General features: G+C 35.3%; 2 long non-coding RNA genes across 2 annotated transcripts in view; both read right to left on the bottom strand.

Moving 5' to 3' along the window:
- The window catches only part of TEX41 (testis expressed 41), a 408,763-nt gene that overhangs the window by 253,015 nt on the left and 135,641 nt on the right, over window positions 1-20,107 (bottom strand). The window lies entirely within an intron of this gene.
- Window positions 13,578-17,659, bottom strand: LOC105373663 (uncharacterized). The gene is made up of 3 exons (XR_923413.2): window positions 17,616-17,659; window positions 14,301-14,407; window positions 13,578-14,041 (listed from the first exon to the last, which is right to left on the bottom strand). It is a non-coding gene; the product is annotated as an uncharacterized LOC105373663 (long non-coding RNA).

Below are 20,107 nucleotides of genomic sequence, written 5' to 3'. Positions count from 1 at the left end.
TTCTGACAAGGATTGCATTGAATCTGTAGAGCGATTAGGAGATTACAGGTATCTTAACAATATTAAGTCTACCGATGCAAAACATGAGTATTCTTCAATTTACTTGTATGTTCTTTAATTTCTTTAAGTAACGTATTTTAGGTTTAAGAGTGTAAGTTTTCTACTTTGTTGTGTTTATTCGTAAATACTTCATTCTTTTTGATGCTATTGTAAATAAAATTTTTTAAAATTTTTATTTTATACTATTTATGGACAGTGTATAGAAATACAATATTTGAGTATTGATTTTGTGTTTTCACAACTTTGTTGAATGCATTTCTTCATTCTAATAGTTTTTTAGTCAACTCTTTAAGATTTTCTACATATAAGATCATGTATTCTGTGAATACAGTTTTACCTCTTCCTTTCCAATTTGGATACCTTTTATTTGTTGACTAATTGCCCTAGCTAAAACCTGTTAAATAAAAATAGTGAGAGTGGGTATCTTTGTGTTGTTCCTGATTTTAGAGGGAAAGTATTGTCTTTCTCCATAAAGTATGATGTCAGCTGTGAATTTTTTACAGATGCCCTTCATCAGATTAAGGAAGTTTCATTCTATTTCTAGTAGGTTGAGTGTGTTTACCATGAAATGGTGTTGAATTTGTCAAATGCTTTTCCTGCATCTATTGAGATCTTCATGTGGGGCTTTTTGGTTTTTTATTAAATTGATATGATATAATACATTAATTGATTTTCAGATGTTAAACCAACATTGTTCCTACAATGTCTCACTTGTTTACGTTATAATTCTTTTATACACTGCTGGATTCAGTTTGCTAGTTTTTTGTTGAAGATTTTTGTATTGATGTTCATAAGAGATATTGGTCTGTAGTTTTCTTGTTATGGCTTTGTTTAGTTTTGTTAGCAGGGTAATATTGGCCTCATGGAATGAGCTGAAAATTGTTCCCACTTTTTTATGTTTTTAATGAATTTGTGAAGATTTGGTATTCTTATGTAAATATTCAATCTCTCTTCCTGCTAATGGGTCTATTCAGATTATCTATTTCTTTTTTAGTTGCTTTGGTAGTTTGGGTTTTCCTTGGAATTTGTCCATTTCATCAAAGTTGTATAATTTGTTGGCATTCAATTGTTCATAGTATTCCTTTATAATCCTTTTTATTTCTCTAAGGTCAGTAGTAATGTGCCCTCTTCCATTTGTGATTCATGTAATTTTGCTCTTTTTTTCCTCTTGATCTAGCAAAGGTTTGCCAATTTTTTAGTCTTTTCCAATAACCAGGTTTTCATTTTACTGATTTTCTCTATTGATAATCTCTTTTCTATTAATTTCCACTTGAGTCTTTATTATCCTTGTGTAGTTGCTCTTCTTTTTCCATTGTCTTATGGTACAAGGTTACATGCTTAATTTGAGAACTTACTTCTATATAAATATAGGTACTTACAAGCTATAAAGTTCCCTCTAAGGACTGCATTACCTGCAATCCATAAGTTTTGGTATTTTGTGTCTAACAGTCATTCATCTTAAAATATTTTCTAATTTTCCTTTTTATTTCTTTTTTTACCCTGTGATTACTTAGGAGTGTGAGTGTTTAATTTTTACATATTTTTAAGTTTCCCAAATACTGTTTCTTTTTGTATTAATTTTTATGGATACACAATAGTTGTACATATGTATGGGATACATGTGATGTTTTGATATAAGCACATAATGTGTAATGATCAAATCAGGGTAATTGGTATATGACCTCAAACATTTATCATTTCTTTGTGTTAGGAATATTCAAATTTCATGCCTCTGGTTATTCTGAAATATACAATATTCATTGTTAACTATAGTTGCCCTATTATGCCACTAAACACTAGATCTTATTCCTTCTATCTAACTGCATCTCTGTACCCATTAACCCCTCTTTATCACCCCTTCTACTATCCTTCCAAGCCTTTGGTAACCACCATGCTACTCTCTATCTCCATGAGATCAATTTTTTTAGCTCTCACATATGAATGGGAACATGCAATGTTTGTCTTTTTGTGCCTGGATCATTTCACTTTACATAATGTCCTCTTGTTCCATCCATGTTGTTGCAAATGATGGAATTCCATTCTTTTTAATAGCTGAATAATATTCCACTGTGTATACATACCTCATTTTCTTTATCCATTCATTTGTTGATGAACACATATCGATTCCATACCTTGGCTACTGTGAATAGTGCTGCAATAAATACGGGAGTGCAGCTATCCCTTCAATATAGTGATTTCCTTTCTTTTGTATATATACTAAGCAATGGGATTGCTGGGTTATATAATAATTCTATTTTTAGTGTTTTGAGGAACCTTCATACCATTTTCCACAGTGGCTGTACTAATCTACATTCCTACAAATAGTGCATGAGCATTTCCCTTTCTCCACAATCTTGCCAGCATCCATTACTTTTTGTTTCTTTGGTAAAAGCCATTTCAACTAGATTGAGTTGATATCACGCTATGGTTTTGATGTGCATTTCTCTGATTGCACCATTTTATATAACTGCATTCTCTGATAGTGATTGACCATTTTTATATAACTGTTGACCATTTTTATGTCTTATTTAAGTGATCTTCAGATTCAATGTAATCACTATCAAAATATCAATGACATTCCTCACAGAAGTAGAGAAAAAAATCCTAAAATTTGTATGGAACCACAAAAGACTCAGAATAGCCAAAGCAATCCTGATAGAAAAGAACAAAGCTGGAGGCATCACATTATCTGACGTCAATTATACCACAAAGCTGTAGTAACCAAAACAGCATGGTACTGACATGAAAACAGACAAATAAGGCCAGGTGCAGTGGCTCACACCTGTAATCTCAGCATTTTGGGAGGCCAAGGCGGACAGATCACCTGTGGTCAGTTTGAGACCAGCCTGGCCAACATGGTGACACCCCATCTCTACTAAAAATACAAAAATTAGCCAGGAGTGGTGGTGGGTGCCTGTAATCGCAGCTACTCAGGAGGTTGAGCACTTAAAATATGTTGTTTCACCCTTTTTGGCATCTATATTTTCTTATGAGAAGTCAGCTGTAAATCTTATTGGTGTTCTCTGTAAGTCATGAGTCATTTTTGTCTTGAAGCTTACAAGATGTTTTCCTTGTCTTTGCCTTTCGGCATTTTTAGTGTAATGTGTCTGCTAGTAGTTATTTCTCTGTGTTTATCATAATTAGAGTTCTTTGAACTTCCTTCATCATTAGGTTCATATCTGCCAATAAATTTTGGAAGTTTTCAGCCAGTATTTCTTTGAATATTTTTCTGCTTCTCTCTCCATCTCCTTCCCTGCTCCATCTGATGCTTCCACTGGTTTATGCTGTTGCACTAATGGTGTTTTACACTTCTCTGAGGCACTACTTTTTTTTATTTTTTGATATTTTACTATTCTTTGGATTGCATAATCTCTATCAATGTATCTTAAAGTTTGCAAATTATTTCTTCTGCCAGTTCAAATCTACCACTGAGTCCCTCTAGTAATTTTTTTAATTTCTCAGTTATTACACTTTTCAATTCCAGAATTTAAATTTGGTCCTTTTCATCATTTCTATCTCTTTATTTATATTCTGTATTTGATGCAGCATCTTTTACTTTTTAAAGTTTCCTTAATTCTTTGAACATATTTTTAATAACTATTTTGAAATATTTGTCTATTAAATTCAACATTTTGTTCTTACAGTTTCTATCACCTGCTTTTTTCTGGTGTATGCATCATAGTTTCTTGTTTCTTTGCATGACTTACTTATCATTTTTGTCAGTAACTGTACATTTTAGATAATATATTCCAGAAACTCTTGTTGTTGTTTCTTATTTACTTGTTTAGTGACTGGCTGGATTATTTTAGTGAAGTCTATTCTCCTACCCCCACCCCCACAGCATAAACCCTCTATTGTTGCTCTTCAGGAGGTACAGCCTTGAGTATATTGTGTATACCCATGGGATGACAGTGGTTTGGACAGGGCTTTTTTTGCTCTGCTGTTTTCACCAATACCTTGGGGCATAATTTGCTTCACAGACTAATCCAATCAAGGTCAGGCTTCTTCAGGGACAGTTTCTAGAGAAGTATTTGAGATTTGCCCCTGACTCCAGGAGGTCTCTTCCCAACTGTGTCCATTTCCACTTCTCTATCAAATTCCTTTCACCACAACTGCTACTCTTTTTGAGAGTGCCCTTAGCCTTGAACTTCTTCACACTCTTGCAAATAAAATAAGTTACTTTGAGGAGAAATTTGGATATATAGGTTCATATTAGTCCATTGGCCTACCTCCTCTTCTCTTTCTGCTGCCAACCCCAGAAAAATCTCTGAGCCATAGCTAGGAGAGGCAAGGACAATGGCACATTTCTCCCTGAGTGATAACCCCACTTCAGAAGCTTAGCCCTCAGTAGATTGTGGAGGGAGCAAGGAGGTCATTAGCCCCAGGTCTCCTCATTTTGCTTCTCTCAGTGTGGAATTCCTAGCCGTTGATCTGGAGCAAGGGCAACCAAGGCCCCAATACTCTCAGCAATGCCACACTCAAGGCAGAGCTCTTTCCCATGAGTGGGAGCTGAGTAGAAGAAGACTCAATTAGCCATACTTCCCCAGAATTTAGACTCAACAATAAGTAGCTGAGACAGGATGAGGAATACTGATGTCCTGCCCCTACCAGGAAGAGAGCCCACCAACTGGGAGCTGAAAGAAAAAGGGAGCCCTGTGTTTTTGGTTAAGCCCATTTGGAGTGGAATTTCTGTCTCCCTAAGCTAAGAGGGGGAGGGAGAATCCAGGTCTCTATTGAACTGAGGTTCAAATACCACAGACTTTCCCATTCCTTGCCTAATTTTAGTAAATGTTTAAATATTTATTCTTGTGCTGTATGTCCATAGGGCTTCTTTCAGAGACCTTACTTTAAAAAAAAAAAAAAAAAGTTTACCAGTTTAAATGAGGAGGAGGCCTGCAGAACTCCTCATACTATCACTCCAGAAGTAGAACTCCCAACTCCCTTAATTTTATCTTTGCTATATTGTTGAGTTAGTTTCTTTAATTGAGGAGTTTTCTTGGGACTTTGGCAGTCAAAGGTTTTTTCAGCCTTTTTGCCTACTCTTTGGTGTACAGAAGCAATAGCCTTTACATTTCTAGAAAGGAATTTGTACTCACAAATCAGCATACTCGTTCTTGAAATTATCTCATTCTTGTAATATCTGGCTAATTGCAACAGAGAGCAATACACGAATATTCTGGTTCTTTCTTTTATTTTTCTATTTTACTTTAAGTTCTGGGATACATGTTCAGAACGTGCAGCTTTGTTACATAGGTATACATGTGCCACAGTGGTTTACTGCACCTATCAACCCATCATCTAGCTTTTAAGCCCCGCATGCATTAGGCATTTATCCTAATGCTTTCCCTCCCCTTGCCTCCCACCCTCCGACAGGCCCCAGTGTGTGATGTTCCCCTCCCTGTGTCCATGTGTTCTCACTGTTCAACTCCCACTTATGAGTGAGAACATGTGGTGTCTGGTTTTCTGTTCCTGTGTTGGTTTGCTGAGAATGATGGCTTCCAGCTTCATCCATGTCCCTGCAAAGGACATGAACTCATTCTTTTTTGTGGCGGCATAGTATTCCATGGTGTATATGTGCCACATTTTCTTTATACAGTCTATCATTGACAAGCATTTGGGTTGGTTCCAAGTTATTCTGGCTCTTTCTAACAACTTTTCCTAGACTGGCAGGCTCAGTATTATTGCCTTTCAGGTTGTTGTACACAATAGTTTTACCAAATCTTTATCACTATATAATATAGATCTCCAATATATTTTCACCCCCCAATATTTGTTTCCTTGCTTCCTCCTGCCAACCACTAGAAGTCAATGCCCCACATTTTAAATTTTTGATGTGAAAGCAATATACTTCAAGATACTTATTTCAATTTTAATTAGGTGAGGCAAACAGTAAAAACAAATAAACCCAATTAAATTTTATTTCTTGCTCATATGATATTACCGGCCAGTGATGAAATTAGTAGGGTACTCATGCCCAACCTAATACAAAATTCAAAAAAGTTTACTTTATGAGTGACATCCAGGATATAATTCATGCAACAAACAACTTAGAATATATTTTTGTCGTACTTAAAAGTAGGAATGTCCATAAAAGCTCTTCATCTTAGATTTATAGATTTTGTGGGCATTTGCAGGGACAAATCATTATTTGACTAATAACATCTTTTCATAGGGAAGTTGCAGGTATGTTGTGAGGGGCATTTATAGAACATACTAACATCAAAAGGGAGATTCATTTGCTGGAGGCTTTGCATTTCATACATTTGTGATAAGTAAGATTTGGGGGGACATATACTGGTTCCTCAATTCTCATATTTTTACATGGGGAGGAATTTCCACTCCACTCCCTAGAAAAGAAAATTAATAGGGGAGAGGGCATTTTCAGTTCTCTCTGCTCCTCACACTGTCCTATGATGTTTTGAGCTAAGTCATGTCCCACAAAAAATCATACGTTGAAGCCCTAACTCCCAGTACCTCAGCATTTGACTGTATTTAGAAATACAGGTAATTAGGGTAAAGTGAGGTCATATGGATGGACCCTAATCCACTATGACTGGAAGCCTTAGGAAAAGGAGATTAGGCCGCAGACCAAGGGATGACCATGTGAATACACAGTGAGAAAGCAGCTACCCACAGTGAGAAAGCAAGCCAAAGAGAAAGCCTTCAGAAGAAACCAAACCAAGCCCTTGATCTTGGACTTCTAGCCTCTAAAACTGGAAGAAAATAAATTTCTGTTGTTTAAGCTACCTGTGGTATTTTGTTACGGCAGCCCAAGCAAACAAATACATACGAGAAGAGTGGTAACATATAACTGTTAAGTTTAAATGAAGTAACAGGACATACTCAGAATTTTCCATCAGTAAACAGTAGCCAGTGAGAAAGGCATTTACCCATTCATCCAGAACACTACAGACTGGGTGCTGTGTTAGATGCTGCCAATCAGTAATAAATAATTCTAATATGATTGTTGCTGGTAAGAAATTCAGAGGCTAATGAAAAGGAAAAAATGAATAAACTTTGTGTACATAAGAGATCTCAGAATATGAAGAATAGCTGGGTAGCCTAGCTCCTTCTTAGGAAAATTTGGGGAACTGACACCCATACTGACCTGTGTTGAGTAATGGAGATGTGGGGGAAATATTGAGAATGGATGTCAAAGTGGCCAGCCAAAGTATTTTCTGATCTGCTGACCATATTCTCTTGATCCTGTGGTGTTGAGGGGTAGCCTAGGCTTGGATGGTGGTTTATTTTGAACAGATGGAATGGAGCTTGGATATGAGCCACAGAGACAATTATTGGATAAAGGTTTCATCAATTTTCTAATGAGGAATGTCTTATAGCTATCACCAAAACCACATTGGCTAACTGAAGTATACGAACATATAGCACCAACTATACATAATATACAGCCAAAGCTAACACAATTCGGTAATTGCTTTTAGTTTATTTCATAGTATGGATGCTGTAATAATAGTGAGAAAAGCACTGGCTTTGGAACCAGATTCAATGTCAACTGAAACATATGCTTAATGAGCACTAGTGAAGTGCCAGCCCCTGCTAGGCACACAGAGGGGAGGAGTGAGAGAGGGAGAGGAGAGGAGTGAGAGAGGGAGAGGAGAGGAGTGAGAGAGGGAGAGGAGAGGAGTGACAGAGAGAGAGAGAGAGAGAGAGAAAAGACAGACATGTCCCTGCCATTTGTGAACTTGGGCAGGTTATTTATTATCCCTGAATCTGTTTTCTTACATGATAAATCAGGATCATGGTAGCTATTTTGGACAGCTTCTGTAAAAATTAAATTTTACAGAAAAAGAAAAGACATTAAAAAGTACTTATGACAGTGCCTGGCAAATAACTATGTGCTAAATGTTATTTCCTTCTCACATTTGTCCACCTTTGCTCTCTGCAAAAAGAACGAAGTATAAAAAGCCCCTTTGGGTATTATTGAAATGAGTTACCAAATATCGTAATCTTCATAGCCAAATTCTAAGACTTAGAGAAAGAGCACTGAATAAGGCTGGCTCTCATTTGAGTAAATCAGGCTTTACATCAACATGGATAATACGTTTAGAATCTTAAGTGTATTCTTCTAGAAGGTACATATGTGTGTATTTCCTTTCTATTTTGCCACTTCCCTCATTCTTAACTCTATGGTATTGAACTCAGGGTAAAGAGCAAAATCATTTGTTGAAATGAAATAGAAAGAGCATGTCACAAAAAATGGTCTGCAGATATTGAAATAAAAATAATCCATCCTCTTAAAGCATTAAAAATGATCTTATATTTTTACATGCAGAATATAGTAACATATATACTTAGCAATACATGAATTTTTCCAAAAATAAGATAAAAGCATTACAAGATAGAGGGTGAATCAATCTCTGTAACCTTCAAAAATAGTACCGAGAATAGTAGGGAACATATAGTTCAGATAACTTTTCAGGAAGGGCGTGTACTGCCTGTACTGTATTGAGCCAGATTCCCTATGTACCAAAGAAATTGTCAATTTGGACAATTGGAAGAACTACTCCTTTTTCACAACTTCAGGGAGAAGCTTCAAATACAGAATCCAGCTTACTTATTTATAATCTCAAAAGTTCTGCTTAGGTGCAAATGACTCTCTCAATTACTCTCAAATCCTATCTAAGTCAATGAATTCCAGACTCCAGAAACAAACAACATGTTCCTTCACCTTATCTCTGTTCATTCTTTCTCTTCAGCTAGTCCACCTCCCACAAATTGGAATTTTGATGTGGAATAAAATGCTTTCTTAATTGGGCTTCCTGCTTTTATTCTAATCCTAAATTCTTCGCAAACAATTTTCCTAAACCTACTCCCTTTATTTTTCAAACTTGAAACATAGAGTTGGACTCTAATTGTATGTAACTCACTACTATCCATCATATCAATCATTCATTTATTTTATTTGGCAAATATCGAGTCTACTCTACACAGGGTAAGCTCTTTTGGGATTGCCAAGACATAAAGCACCAGGGTGATTTTACATTCAGATATAAAACCATACAATACCTCACTTTTTCTCTATACATTTCACATTTGTATACAAATATACTCCTTTCGTTAAACTGTAATGGCCTCTGAACAAATAAATAATGCTAAAAAATAACTTTTGTCTTTAACGCATTTGGCTGCATGTAAAATATCCATAGCTGTCATGTGTAATGAAACTACCCACTGTTTAGAGATCCCTGCAAAATCTACATGCAGTGGAGTTCATTTAAGACAGAACAATCACACAATTTGAACACAGCATAAGCAATGTAATAAGCAGAGAACAATCTTCTGGGTAATACCAAAGTTTACTTAAACAGATTGATAACATCCTCACTGAAAAATAGCACACACCATTTTCACAGTTTGTTCCCTTTTGTATAACTTACCCACCAAGCTAGATAGTACAATTACTGAACTTTGTAGTGAATGCCCGGAGCCCCTGAAGTGCTACCACAGGAAATCAACCAATAATACAATTGCATTTCTCTCCTTATCACATAGCTTTTGTGATTTGTCAGGAAATAAATACACAACACTAAAAATCAACAAATACAGGGGGTTCATGTGAAGAAAACAAGGTTTGGTTTTGTTTTTAAAAAGCACATGATTATTTTTTCCATCCATAATATTTTTCCTCTTCCTCCCAGATCTCTTAACAAAATTCATCACCTAATGGTCTCTGATGAGCTTGGCCAGTGAAAATGTCTCAGTCAGAAGTAACGGGACCCACAAAACCCAATATGATTTCTTAACTCAGCCATGACCTTTCACTTTTTCTTTTTGGTTTCAAAGCTGACTGAATGGTCATTCAAATCATGAAAGTGTTAAGTGGGAGTAGTCATAAATCATCATTTTAAAGTCTGCTACCAGCACGAACACTCCATATTTAAAAGGAGGTGGGGGGCGCAGAATTTAAGACCACACTCAACAGGGCTTCACAGTTATTAAATTCAGCTCTCTGGTAATCTGGTAACTCTGAAATATGGTGTGTTTTTTTTGTTTGTTTGTTTTTTAATCTGGCCATCCAAATATAAAGCAGATGCAGATATACATATATGCCCTTAAATATTGGCAATAACAAACATAAAGTGAGATACTTTCAAAGTAAAATATCCTAAAATGTAAACCATTTAAATTTAAAGGACATATAAGTACAGTATTTTTATCTGAAAATATTTGAGGTTTTCTTTATATAAAATTATAAAGTAATGCTTGTCAATTTATTAAAGTTGGACACAATACCAAAAAGCAGAGGAATATATCAAAATCACTTGTGACTTACACAATTAGGTAAAACTCATGCATGCATTTTTTCGATGAATGCTTATCCAATGTTTTATGGTAGAAAGCTTGAATTAATTTAAGATAAAATATGACTGAATATCCTTGCAAATTAAGTTTGGAAATAATGTTTTAAAATAAATTTGGCTAAATGAATAGTTTAGTAATTGAGCATTTTTAAAATAATTGCTTATAAATCAAGTCTACTTTTTTGGAGGACACATTTTATAGCATGTTTCAGTAGAAATAAAGAGCCAGATTACAGCGTCTGTCACATCTTCAGATGCATACACAGTTGAATATGGCAAAAATTCTCTAAAACAGGGCTGGTCAGATATTTAATAGATATTTAGTAGATGTGCATTGAGAAACACTGGAGAGTGTCCTTGCCAAAAATATCTGTCCCATTCCCCATGACATTCCCCAGGTGTGTATTATCATTTTTCTTGTAGCATTTAGAATTCTAATCACTAGTCATTATTTTTTTTCACATCATTAAAAATCTTTACCAAAAAGCAAACACGTTACCTAGGAAGCCATTAATAAGTCATTAGCACCTTACCTGGAATTAAATCAATCAGACCATACAGTTTTCTTAAGAGCCCAAGGTGTGTATAATAGCAAACAGGTAATTTTGATGACAGTAGGCATTTAAAAAACACAAATGTTGGGTCATTTTGCAAGAAGGACCCCTAAAACACTGGACAGTTAGTCAGGGGAGGAAGAATTGTGGAGAGTCATCCATATACGGTTAGAGGAGACGTGGAGGAATGAAAACCTATGGCATCATTTCCCTCCAAACCAACTAATATAAAACCTGAGTGTGACTGACAGCTTTTGAAACACAGTAATAGTAGGTGATTTATGCTTCTAGGCTAAATAATACAGGCTTCAGTGACAGCTCTCCACTGTGAATTACTAATAACCATTTTGAGCGAGGGATAGATTTCTCATCACTAGCAGGTACCTGATCTTCGTCTGAACCATAGTGTAAGACTCGGCAAACACGTGAACATTTTACAGTGAGACACAGCTTAAGTGTGAGACTTGTGTACAATGCCATCAGTCACATTATGCCAAAAAATTCAGGTGGTCAATTACTGAATTATTAAAGTTGCATTCAGATAATTCTGAGACAAGTGATTAATGTCAGTTACGGTGTATGTGTTGGAGGGGTGGCATGGAACGTAATTGTTTGACTCAAGTGACTAATTCAGGCAGGTGGTCTGACAATTCTGGTAGGTAATCCTGTTCTGATACCTAGTTACACCCTCATTCACCCTTGTGTTCAGAATCTCTAACTTCTTTAGCCTACTGGCCTATAATCACATACATCACTCTTATATTCAATAAAGGAGACTTCAAAATAAGAGTACTTTATTGAAAATTACACGAGTGGATATTCTCTGAAGTAAATTAACAATAAAAGAATAAAGCTGTTCAACGAATATATTTTTCATGCTTCAGGGCTATGTGTTTAACAGTTTTCTAACTGTTCATTCATTTATTAAAAAAACTACTTCAGTTATTATCTCCGAGAGTTGAAATTAGATATTTAATTGACTGGAGGGAATGAAAGTCGCTCATTTTTAAATAAGGCAACTATTTAAAAATATTTCTATAAAATGCTTCATACAATCACCATCAGCCCAAATTCCTGGCAAACATTCTTGTGTGTATATATAGTTGATTTTATAAATGTCATGCTATAAGAGCTAACTCCTTCAGAAACATGTTTATCTTAATTAGGAAAGTAAACAGACTTCTAATGGGAAGAAATGGGAATTTTTCTCTGTGGTATCGAAGGCATCAAAGGGCCAGTTCTCCTGCCAAACCAATCTTCCTTCCTGCCTGCTTTAAACCCAGGTGATTGCAGACAGCTGAGCAGGCATTTTCCCCAAAGCCTCTCTTGACCGGGCTCCAGTCTCTGCTCAGTTGCCCCATCTCTTGCTCTTTCTCTCTCTGTGTGTCACTCTTTCTGTGGATTTTTTTTCTGTATTTTTGCCTCAGGAAACCTAGGGATATTCATGGCACTGAGGCAAATAATGTGGAATTAAAAACTAAATTCTTGAGGCCTCATCCTAGCAACAAGACCATCACCATCTGTTCAGAGGACAAGCCTGCCATTATCCGCTGCATTCTTTATAAAAACTCCATCACCTGTGAGGGGAAAAACACTGCCCCTTTCCTGGGTTCTCTCTTTGTCACAATAGAAAATGGTCTGTTTCCCTCTGATCCTGTAAAATTAAAGAAATCAAATATGACTGGGAGCACTTACAGCAAATTTAAGGAGATATATCAGAAGGCCTTAAATGGCCATTCCAAAAGAGTCTGATAATTGTCTTCTGCACAATAAAACCTGACAAAAATATATTGTTGATGTCTTTTCTAATTATTTAAATTAGAAAAGAGCAAATGGAGTGCTGATGCCTGTATTTTTGGTGGTAAGATGACTGTCACATTCTTTTATTTATTTTTAGCTTCAAAATTTTTATTCATTTCACCTTTGAAAACTACATCAAAATTTATATTTTGAAAGTGGCATTAAAATGTTGTTTCAGTGACTTCAGGGTGAGAATCAATCCAGTTAGACATCTAGTTTAATACACGATGAAAATTTTTTCCCTGGGAAAATGTTTAAAACAGTAAAGACAGTAACTGGGATATATTTTATGCAGTAAAACTTGTATTATTAGAAATAAACAAGGTCTCTTTTCTCTCCTAAAATAGCTGAGTATGAAATAAAAGAATATCTATAGATAGAGCATTTGAAAACCCCAGCCAGAGTTGAAGTGCAGATGAGGAAAAACGCGAGACAAATCTTAATAAGTTTCTTTCTAGAATGAAATACACATGATGCTGTCTGATCCAATAAATTAAGAAAGAATATATTTATGAATGTCTAGTAGGTACCAATCATTACATAATATGCTGTTGAGCATGTTTTAACTTTTGAAATTTTTATAAGAAATATATCAATAAATAGAAAGTACCCTCTCAAATACTAGAAAAACATAGTTCTATAATTATAACTAACATTTAACTGGGGTATATTATTTTAAAATCACTTTTTCCTACATTATCTCCTTTTATTCTGATAAGGAGATTGTGAGGTAGACTGAAGATTCATCGCTGTCACCCATTTAAAGATGACGATGCCCAGGTTCAGAGGAGTGTTTTTTGTTTTTTGTTTTGCCCCTGGCTCCCCAGGCTAAGAATCTAAACTCTCCTTAGTCCAAATTGGAAACAACTCTGACATTTTTAAATGGCATTATTTATATTTGTGCCATCAAAAAAGAAATACAAATGAAGACAAAGACTTGAGCTGGAGCAACAATAGTTCTTTATTTTCTTGGACAGGTAGTTGACATACTTGCTGGCAGATGTTCAAAAGTATCATTTGTGTCTTACACAGGCTCCATTTCCATGAGTCAATATTCCCAAAGTTCTTTGCAAAAATATGAACTGAAGTTACCCATATGGCTGTTAATTATCTTCCTTTTTAGATTGCACCTTGTATTGCTATCGTCTGTATATTGGGCACTAACAATTTCCTACATTTTTCCCACATGGTTTTTGCTAAAATTGTCTTAGGCGCAGCCACAGTTGAAAAGTCCTTGCCAATGAGGTAGGGATTTTGAGAAGCAGCTGAATCATTCTCTTCATCCCATCTGTGGATATGCTTGATCTGATGGGAATAAAATCCCAACATTTGGCTAGTTTCAATGGATAGCAATACATCTGTCTGGTTACACTATATTGGAGTAGGACAACAGCATAGAGGAGAATAACTAGATAAAATGTATTTTGAGAATATGAAATAGAACTTTGATCCCATAAATAGGTATTCAGAGGGTGAGATAAAAATTTGTATACACATGAATAATTGACCCTCACCAATTGGGGCTACCTAATTATATAAAAATATTATAGAATAAAATATTTACCAAAATGCAGTTAAAAGATATTTGCAGGATCATAGATTCCAAGCTATGCAAAGTGGGATGAGAACTGAATGGTGTATCTTTAGCATGCTGGCAATTCCATTTCAAAACTACAAAAATAGTAATAATAATTTTTCAGATTACTTTTTCCAAGCAAGATGTAACTAACAAAACTACAAAAACAATTATGCAGAAATCATTATTTCCAACCCTCATTTTCAGATAAACTTAAAACAGGTGATAGTAAAACCAACAGCAACGTTTTGATTCTCATATGGCCTGGTGACCTCACTTTCTCAGTTCCTTGAATGTAGCCTTTCCTTCATAGCCTCTTGTAAACATGGGCAGGTGGTCACAAACGGGAATGAAATGATTGGATGGGCCAGCAAACAAAGCAAATTGTACATATACTTTTCAATTGTAGAACTGAACATTGGGTATGAGTATCTTGTAAGTAAAAAATTTCTCTTAGCTAAGGTGATCAATCATTCATTTTGCTCAAGATTTGAAGGGGTTCCCAGGATTCAGGACTGTTAGTATTCAAACTGGAAAGTCCCAGGCTAACTGGAGTGGGCAGGTCCCACTAGTTAGCTGTGAGACAAATTAGCTGGTTAGCTTGCAACTTAATTTGGCACCACAGGCTTAAACATTTCTAATAACACATTTTTGGAAAATAGGACTAAAAAGGACCAGGTTCCCATTTTGAAAATTAAGAGCTCTAAAATGCACCTATGTAGCATAAATCTGGGGTTTCAAATCTCTTAATCTATGCAAGTAACTCTTTTGTGATTTTGCCAATATAGAGACCATCACCTGCCATACTCCATTGACCCACTTTGCACTACAATCAGGCTGATTTTTGCTTTGTCTCCTGCCTGCTGCTGAATTATCTACTCATCCTGCTCTGCCAATATTCCCCTTTACTAATATGAGAGCCTGATAATTTGTTAATAATGTGAACATCAACAACAACAAAAATATTCCCCATCCCACCACTATTTTTAATAGCATGGTAATGCTGTCCTATTGTTTAGAAGAAGCTAATAAGATTCCATGAATTGCCTTGGAGGTGGTCAGGGCAGCAATTCATTATCCCGAAAATTGAATTTTAAAGGAGTTAGAGAGAAAAGTATCAAGAATTTATCCTGTCAGTTCCATATAAACTACATTTTAAGGCAACTAAGTAGTTAATGAAAGAAAAATTTTCTTTTAGAAGAATGCCAACTACTAAATACATAAAGGATGGTGGAATTAGAAAAAAAAATCACCATTTTGTAATCCTGAAAGAAATGATGAACATAGACATGAAATGAATGTAAAGTCAGTAGTTGAAAATTTGTTAGGGAACATTAAACGCTGACATCACCATTCGAGCATGCCTTGTACAAAAAGCATACACAGAATCACTTATGAAATGTTCTAACCTGAAAAATTTAAAGCAAAAACCTGAAACTAGGCTGGGCACAGTGGCTCATGCCTGTAATCCCAGCACTTCGGGAGGCAGAGATGGGAGGATCACTTGAGCCCAAGTGCTTGAGACCAGCCTGGGCAACACAGGGAGACCCCATATCTACAAAACATTAAAAAATTAGGTGTATGTGGGGGTGCAGGTCTGTAGTCCAGCTACTCAGGAGGCAGAGGTGGGAGGATGGCTTGACCCCAGGAGGTAGGTCCGGGCTGCAGTGAGCCAAGATCATGCCACTGCACTCCAGCCTGGGCAACAGAGCCAGACACTGTCAAAAAAAAAAAAAAAAAAAAAAAAAAGTCTTATTGGGTAAAATTCATACTGAAGTTTAATGGATTAAATGACATTATTTTACCTGGAATAGTTTAAAAATACTGCAGCAAAACCAAAAAATAAAAAAGTGTGAAATAAATGAAATCAGATGGTTAAACTCCTGATCATTGTTGAAAGTGATTATGGGAATAGGGCAATCATTATTATTACTATTCTGCCCACATTTGTTTATGTTTAAAATTTTTTATAATAAACAATAAATAATGATTTGATGGTTTCAAAAATCCTGAATTCAAACACATAAAATAATAGCAACTCTAATTTGTTTCTAACTTAGTTGATGCAATCTACTAATCTAATATATCCATTTTAGTTTGATTTCAGTTGTGAGGGATGGGGACAGAGGCAGTGCAGGTACCGCAGTGGTGATACTGCTACAAGTTATTTGGTAATCCAAATGCTTTTCTATCACCTTCTTGTTACCAAAAGCAAATTTCAATGGACATCGTTTTGTCACTGGTTAGCATGCTCTGGAGGCTTCCTCAATTTCTGTGTGCTCAAGTAACAAAAATCTATTTAAATATTAGCCTATGCTAGGTATAATTGGAAAGCTATAAAGAAGAAAATTAATATGACATTCTATTTGTGTTTATATTTTGAGTATTTTCAAATGCATTGTTTCTGTTGATTCTTAAGGATTTCTAAAAGCAAAAAGTCACATATTATACCCCAAAGTCAAAAGGGTAAGTGAATACGAATCCCCTGACATCAGTTGCTTTGTGTTACTCTTCTCTTACATGAATGCATAGTTGACCATTCTTGGGAATGTCAGAGTAGACAGAGAGCTTCCTAAGGAAAGGGATTTTTAATGTATTCATTTTTGTATGCTTAGTACCTAAAAGAATATTTGGCACATTATAGGCACTTGATAAATATTAATGCTTAAATTCCTCTAAATCCTTTACTGAAGTAGTAATTGGGTCATCTGTCTACTTCTCTCATCGTCACTACTGTTTAGTATAAAATAGCATTGCTGTCTTTTCTGGACTTCCTGACTGGTTTGCTCGTATCCACTGTTGGCAATACCAATTACACCGCAGACAGAATCCTTCATAAAAGTTAATATGATCACATGAGAACACACATACACACACACACACACACACACACACACACACACACCTAAAACCATTCAATTGAGTTTTATGGCTCTAGTGCTATTATTATTACTACCTAAATCTGTCAGTCTACATTTATTGTGTGATTATCTGATTAACGTGTGTCTTCCCTAACAGACCTTAAACCTCATTCTTAGAGCAGGAACTGAGTTTGTTTTGGTCCTTATCTCTATTTTCAGAGTTCTACATAAGGCCTAGAATATAATATATAGTCAACAATTTTGTCAAAAGAATTCATCCAGTAGTTCAATTTTAGCCTGCCTTGAGTTATTGTAGCATGTCATTTTCATTAGCCAAACTAAGCAGGTAAAACAACAGAATGGAGCAAGATTAAAATCAAAATATTAGAATCGCTTCTGCTTGTTAACAAATCACTGTAACACTTATAAGGTTGTAACTTACAATGAACAGAAAAGCAACAACTCCATCTCCTTGCCAAAGAGGGATACTGATTGTCAATTCAAGGAAGGCACTGAAAGAAATCCATAATCCTGCCTTTACCTATAACAGTTATATAAAAATTGAAAGTACATTTGGCAGCTTTCAGGAGCACAAACAATTCTATGTGGGCAGCAGCGAGTGGAGGCAGTAAAAGAACTTACCGCGTTACCAATTTTAAAGAGTCATTTGATTTCAGTTCTTTGGCAAAACCTATTACCCAAAAAAAAAAAGTAAGCATATAGAAAACTTAAATACATTACTGATACATTTCAGGATGTATTATTTGAAAACAAAAGAACTTTGAAGAGCATTCGTAACCTACTTCATTTTGTTGTTGAGCCCTAGGGCATTTCACAGGGCACCTTTACCTACAGCATTCCATGCTAGGCCCAGGCAGAATGCTTCTTCTCTTCCTCTCAGTGGTACTCTGTCTCATGTTATTATCATTTATGTGTCTGTGTGTTTCTCTCACTGGATTATAGATCTGTGAGGACAAGATCTGGCCCTACCTGCATAGCCTGGAACACAGTATGTGCTATAGTACAGCAACTCTACTGAATGCTGTGGTCTAATTTATAAAAATTTGATTTACACTAAAGATTTTGGAATAATATCCATTGTGTCAAAGAGAAGATGGCACCGAAGCATACTGGGCAAAAGGTGGCAGGGAAAAATAGTGCTTTAAGGACTAAATAGTGAATGAAGCTGAGTTTTTCTTTGGAGTTCCTCCCCGGCATTACCAGCCCTGAACTCCATATTGGTAATTCTTTAACTCATCACCCCCATTCATGTTCCCTGGCATTAAGATTTGGTGAATTTTAGCCATATGTATTGATGTATTGAAGAATATAAAGTATCTGATTAATTTCTTATCATTTTGAAGTGTAACTTTATGGAATATGTCATCAAATTATAACAATTTGAGATATTTTGATGAAATATTTTGTAAAGTTTTACCACCTACAAAATCATACCTATGCAAAGTTCACAGAATATTACAACAGGAGTAATCCTCAGATAATTTCTAGCTTAGCATCTGTGTACTCTGAGAGGTTTGGTTATTTTATTAATTAGCTAATAACATATTTACTGAGTGTCTCTTATAATCTGCACTAGGCAAGGCACTAGGAACACAGAAAAATTGATAACCTACTCGCAATGAGTTGCTAGTGCAGTAAGGCACATCATCTCTGAGCTGAGAATTATGGCCATGTTTTCCACTTGTAGAGGAGATATTTGCAGAATCTCAGCATTTAGAGAAAATGTGCCTTATCAACAATCATCTTGATGAACATATTAGTATTCATGGGGTCCTCATGTCTCTCCATAGGTACCATTGTCATAGAACATATTTCATCTGAAAAGAAATAACTCCCTGAAGGGCACACATTTTAGATCTAAATAGTACCCTTGCTATTTGAAATTTTAATTTTGGGAACTTAATATACAGTCTACTGTTACCAAAAATCATCTTAAAGTAGCTATAGAATCCCAAAAGGATAATGAGTTCTTACAGAGTTTCCCCAGTTATGGAGAGGAAATCATTAGTAACTTAAGACAGAAATAAAGAAATCATCTAATTAATGTATTCAGAGATGAATCTTAATGTCCAATTATTCTCTTGATTTGACACAACCTAGTAACAACATAACATCGTCAGCAACATTGTATTAATGTTGGAAGAATTAGAAGGAAGGTAGCCAAGTGGGGGGAGGGAGAGACTGTTCTTAATCCTTTCTTTTTTCTTTTTCTATCACACAATAAGCAAACCTCCTGCTTAAATTAATCACATTTTTAAAAAGTAAACCCACAGAATTAACCTGAAAACAATATTGTGCTGGGAAGTCTGAATTCTATTATAATCAAAGCTTATAAATATCACTTAAACAAAGGTCTATCTGTTCAATTCATTAAATGTTAACAAATGATTTTCCTATCATTCAATGTAGTCTCTTAGTTCAGCTTCATTGATTGATTTAACCAATGTCTATTTAAACGTGTATAATTTCCGTATTTTGTAATTGGTCCAATATTAAATGATACTCACACAGAGCAAAAAGTTAACGTGCCAATATTGTCATGCTCCATATTCATGCTTCATTTATTGAAAGAATTAAAATCAAGGAAGATATTTTTCAATATTTTGTATTTTTTATTAAATAATACATAGTAGTGGGTTTTTAATGTTTTTTAGAAAAGGTACTACAGTGAAAATCTGCATCCCATCTCCAATCCTCAGCCTCCCAGTTCTCCTCTACAAAAAACAAAAATAAAAAAGTCCCTCTTTCCAATTTTTTAAATTCTTCCCAAATTAAAAGGCCATATCTCTTGAAGCTCAAGACTTTCGACAAATAAATGGAAAAGAACAGCCACATCTTTTAAATATTAGTAATTTATAAAATGAAATAGTCATAATTAATAGCTAGGTATATTTAAGATCATTCAACCATACC

Source organism: Homo sapiens, chromosome 2 (assembly GCF_000001405.40).
Source record: "Homo sapiens chromosome 2, GRCh38.p14 Primary Assembly".
Lineage (NCBI taxonomy): Eukaryota > Metazoa > Chordata > Mammalia > Primates > Hominidae > Homo > Homo sapiens.
This window is presented reverse-complemented; position numbering and strand designations above follow the sequence as displayed.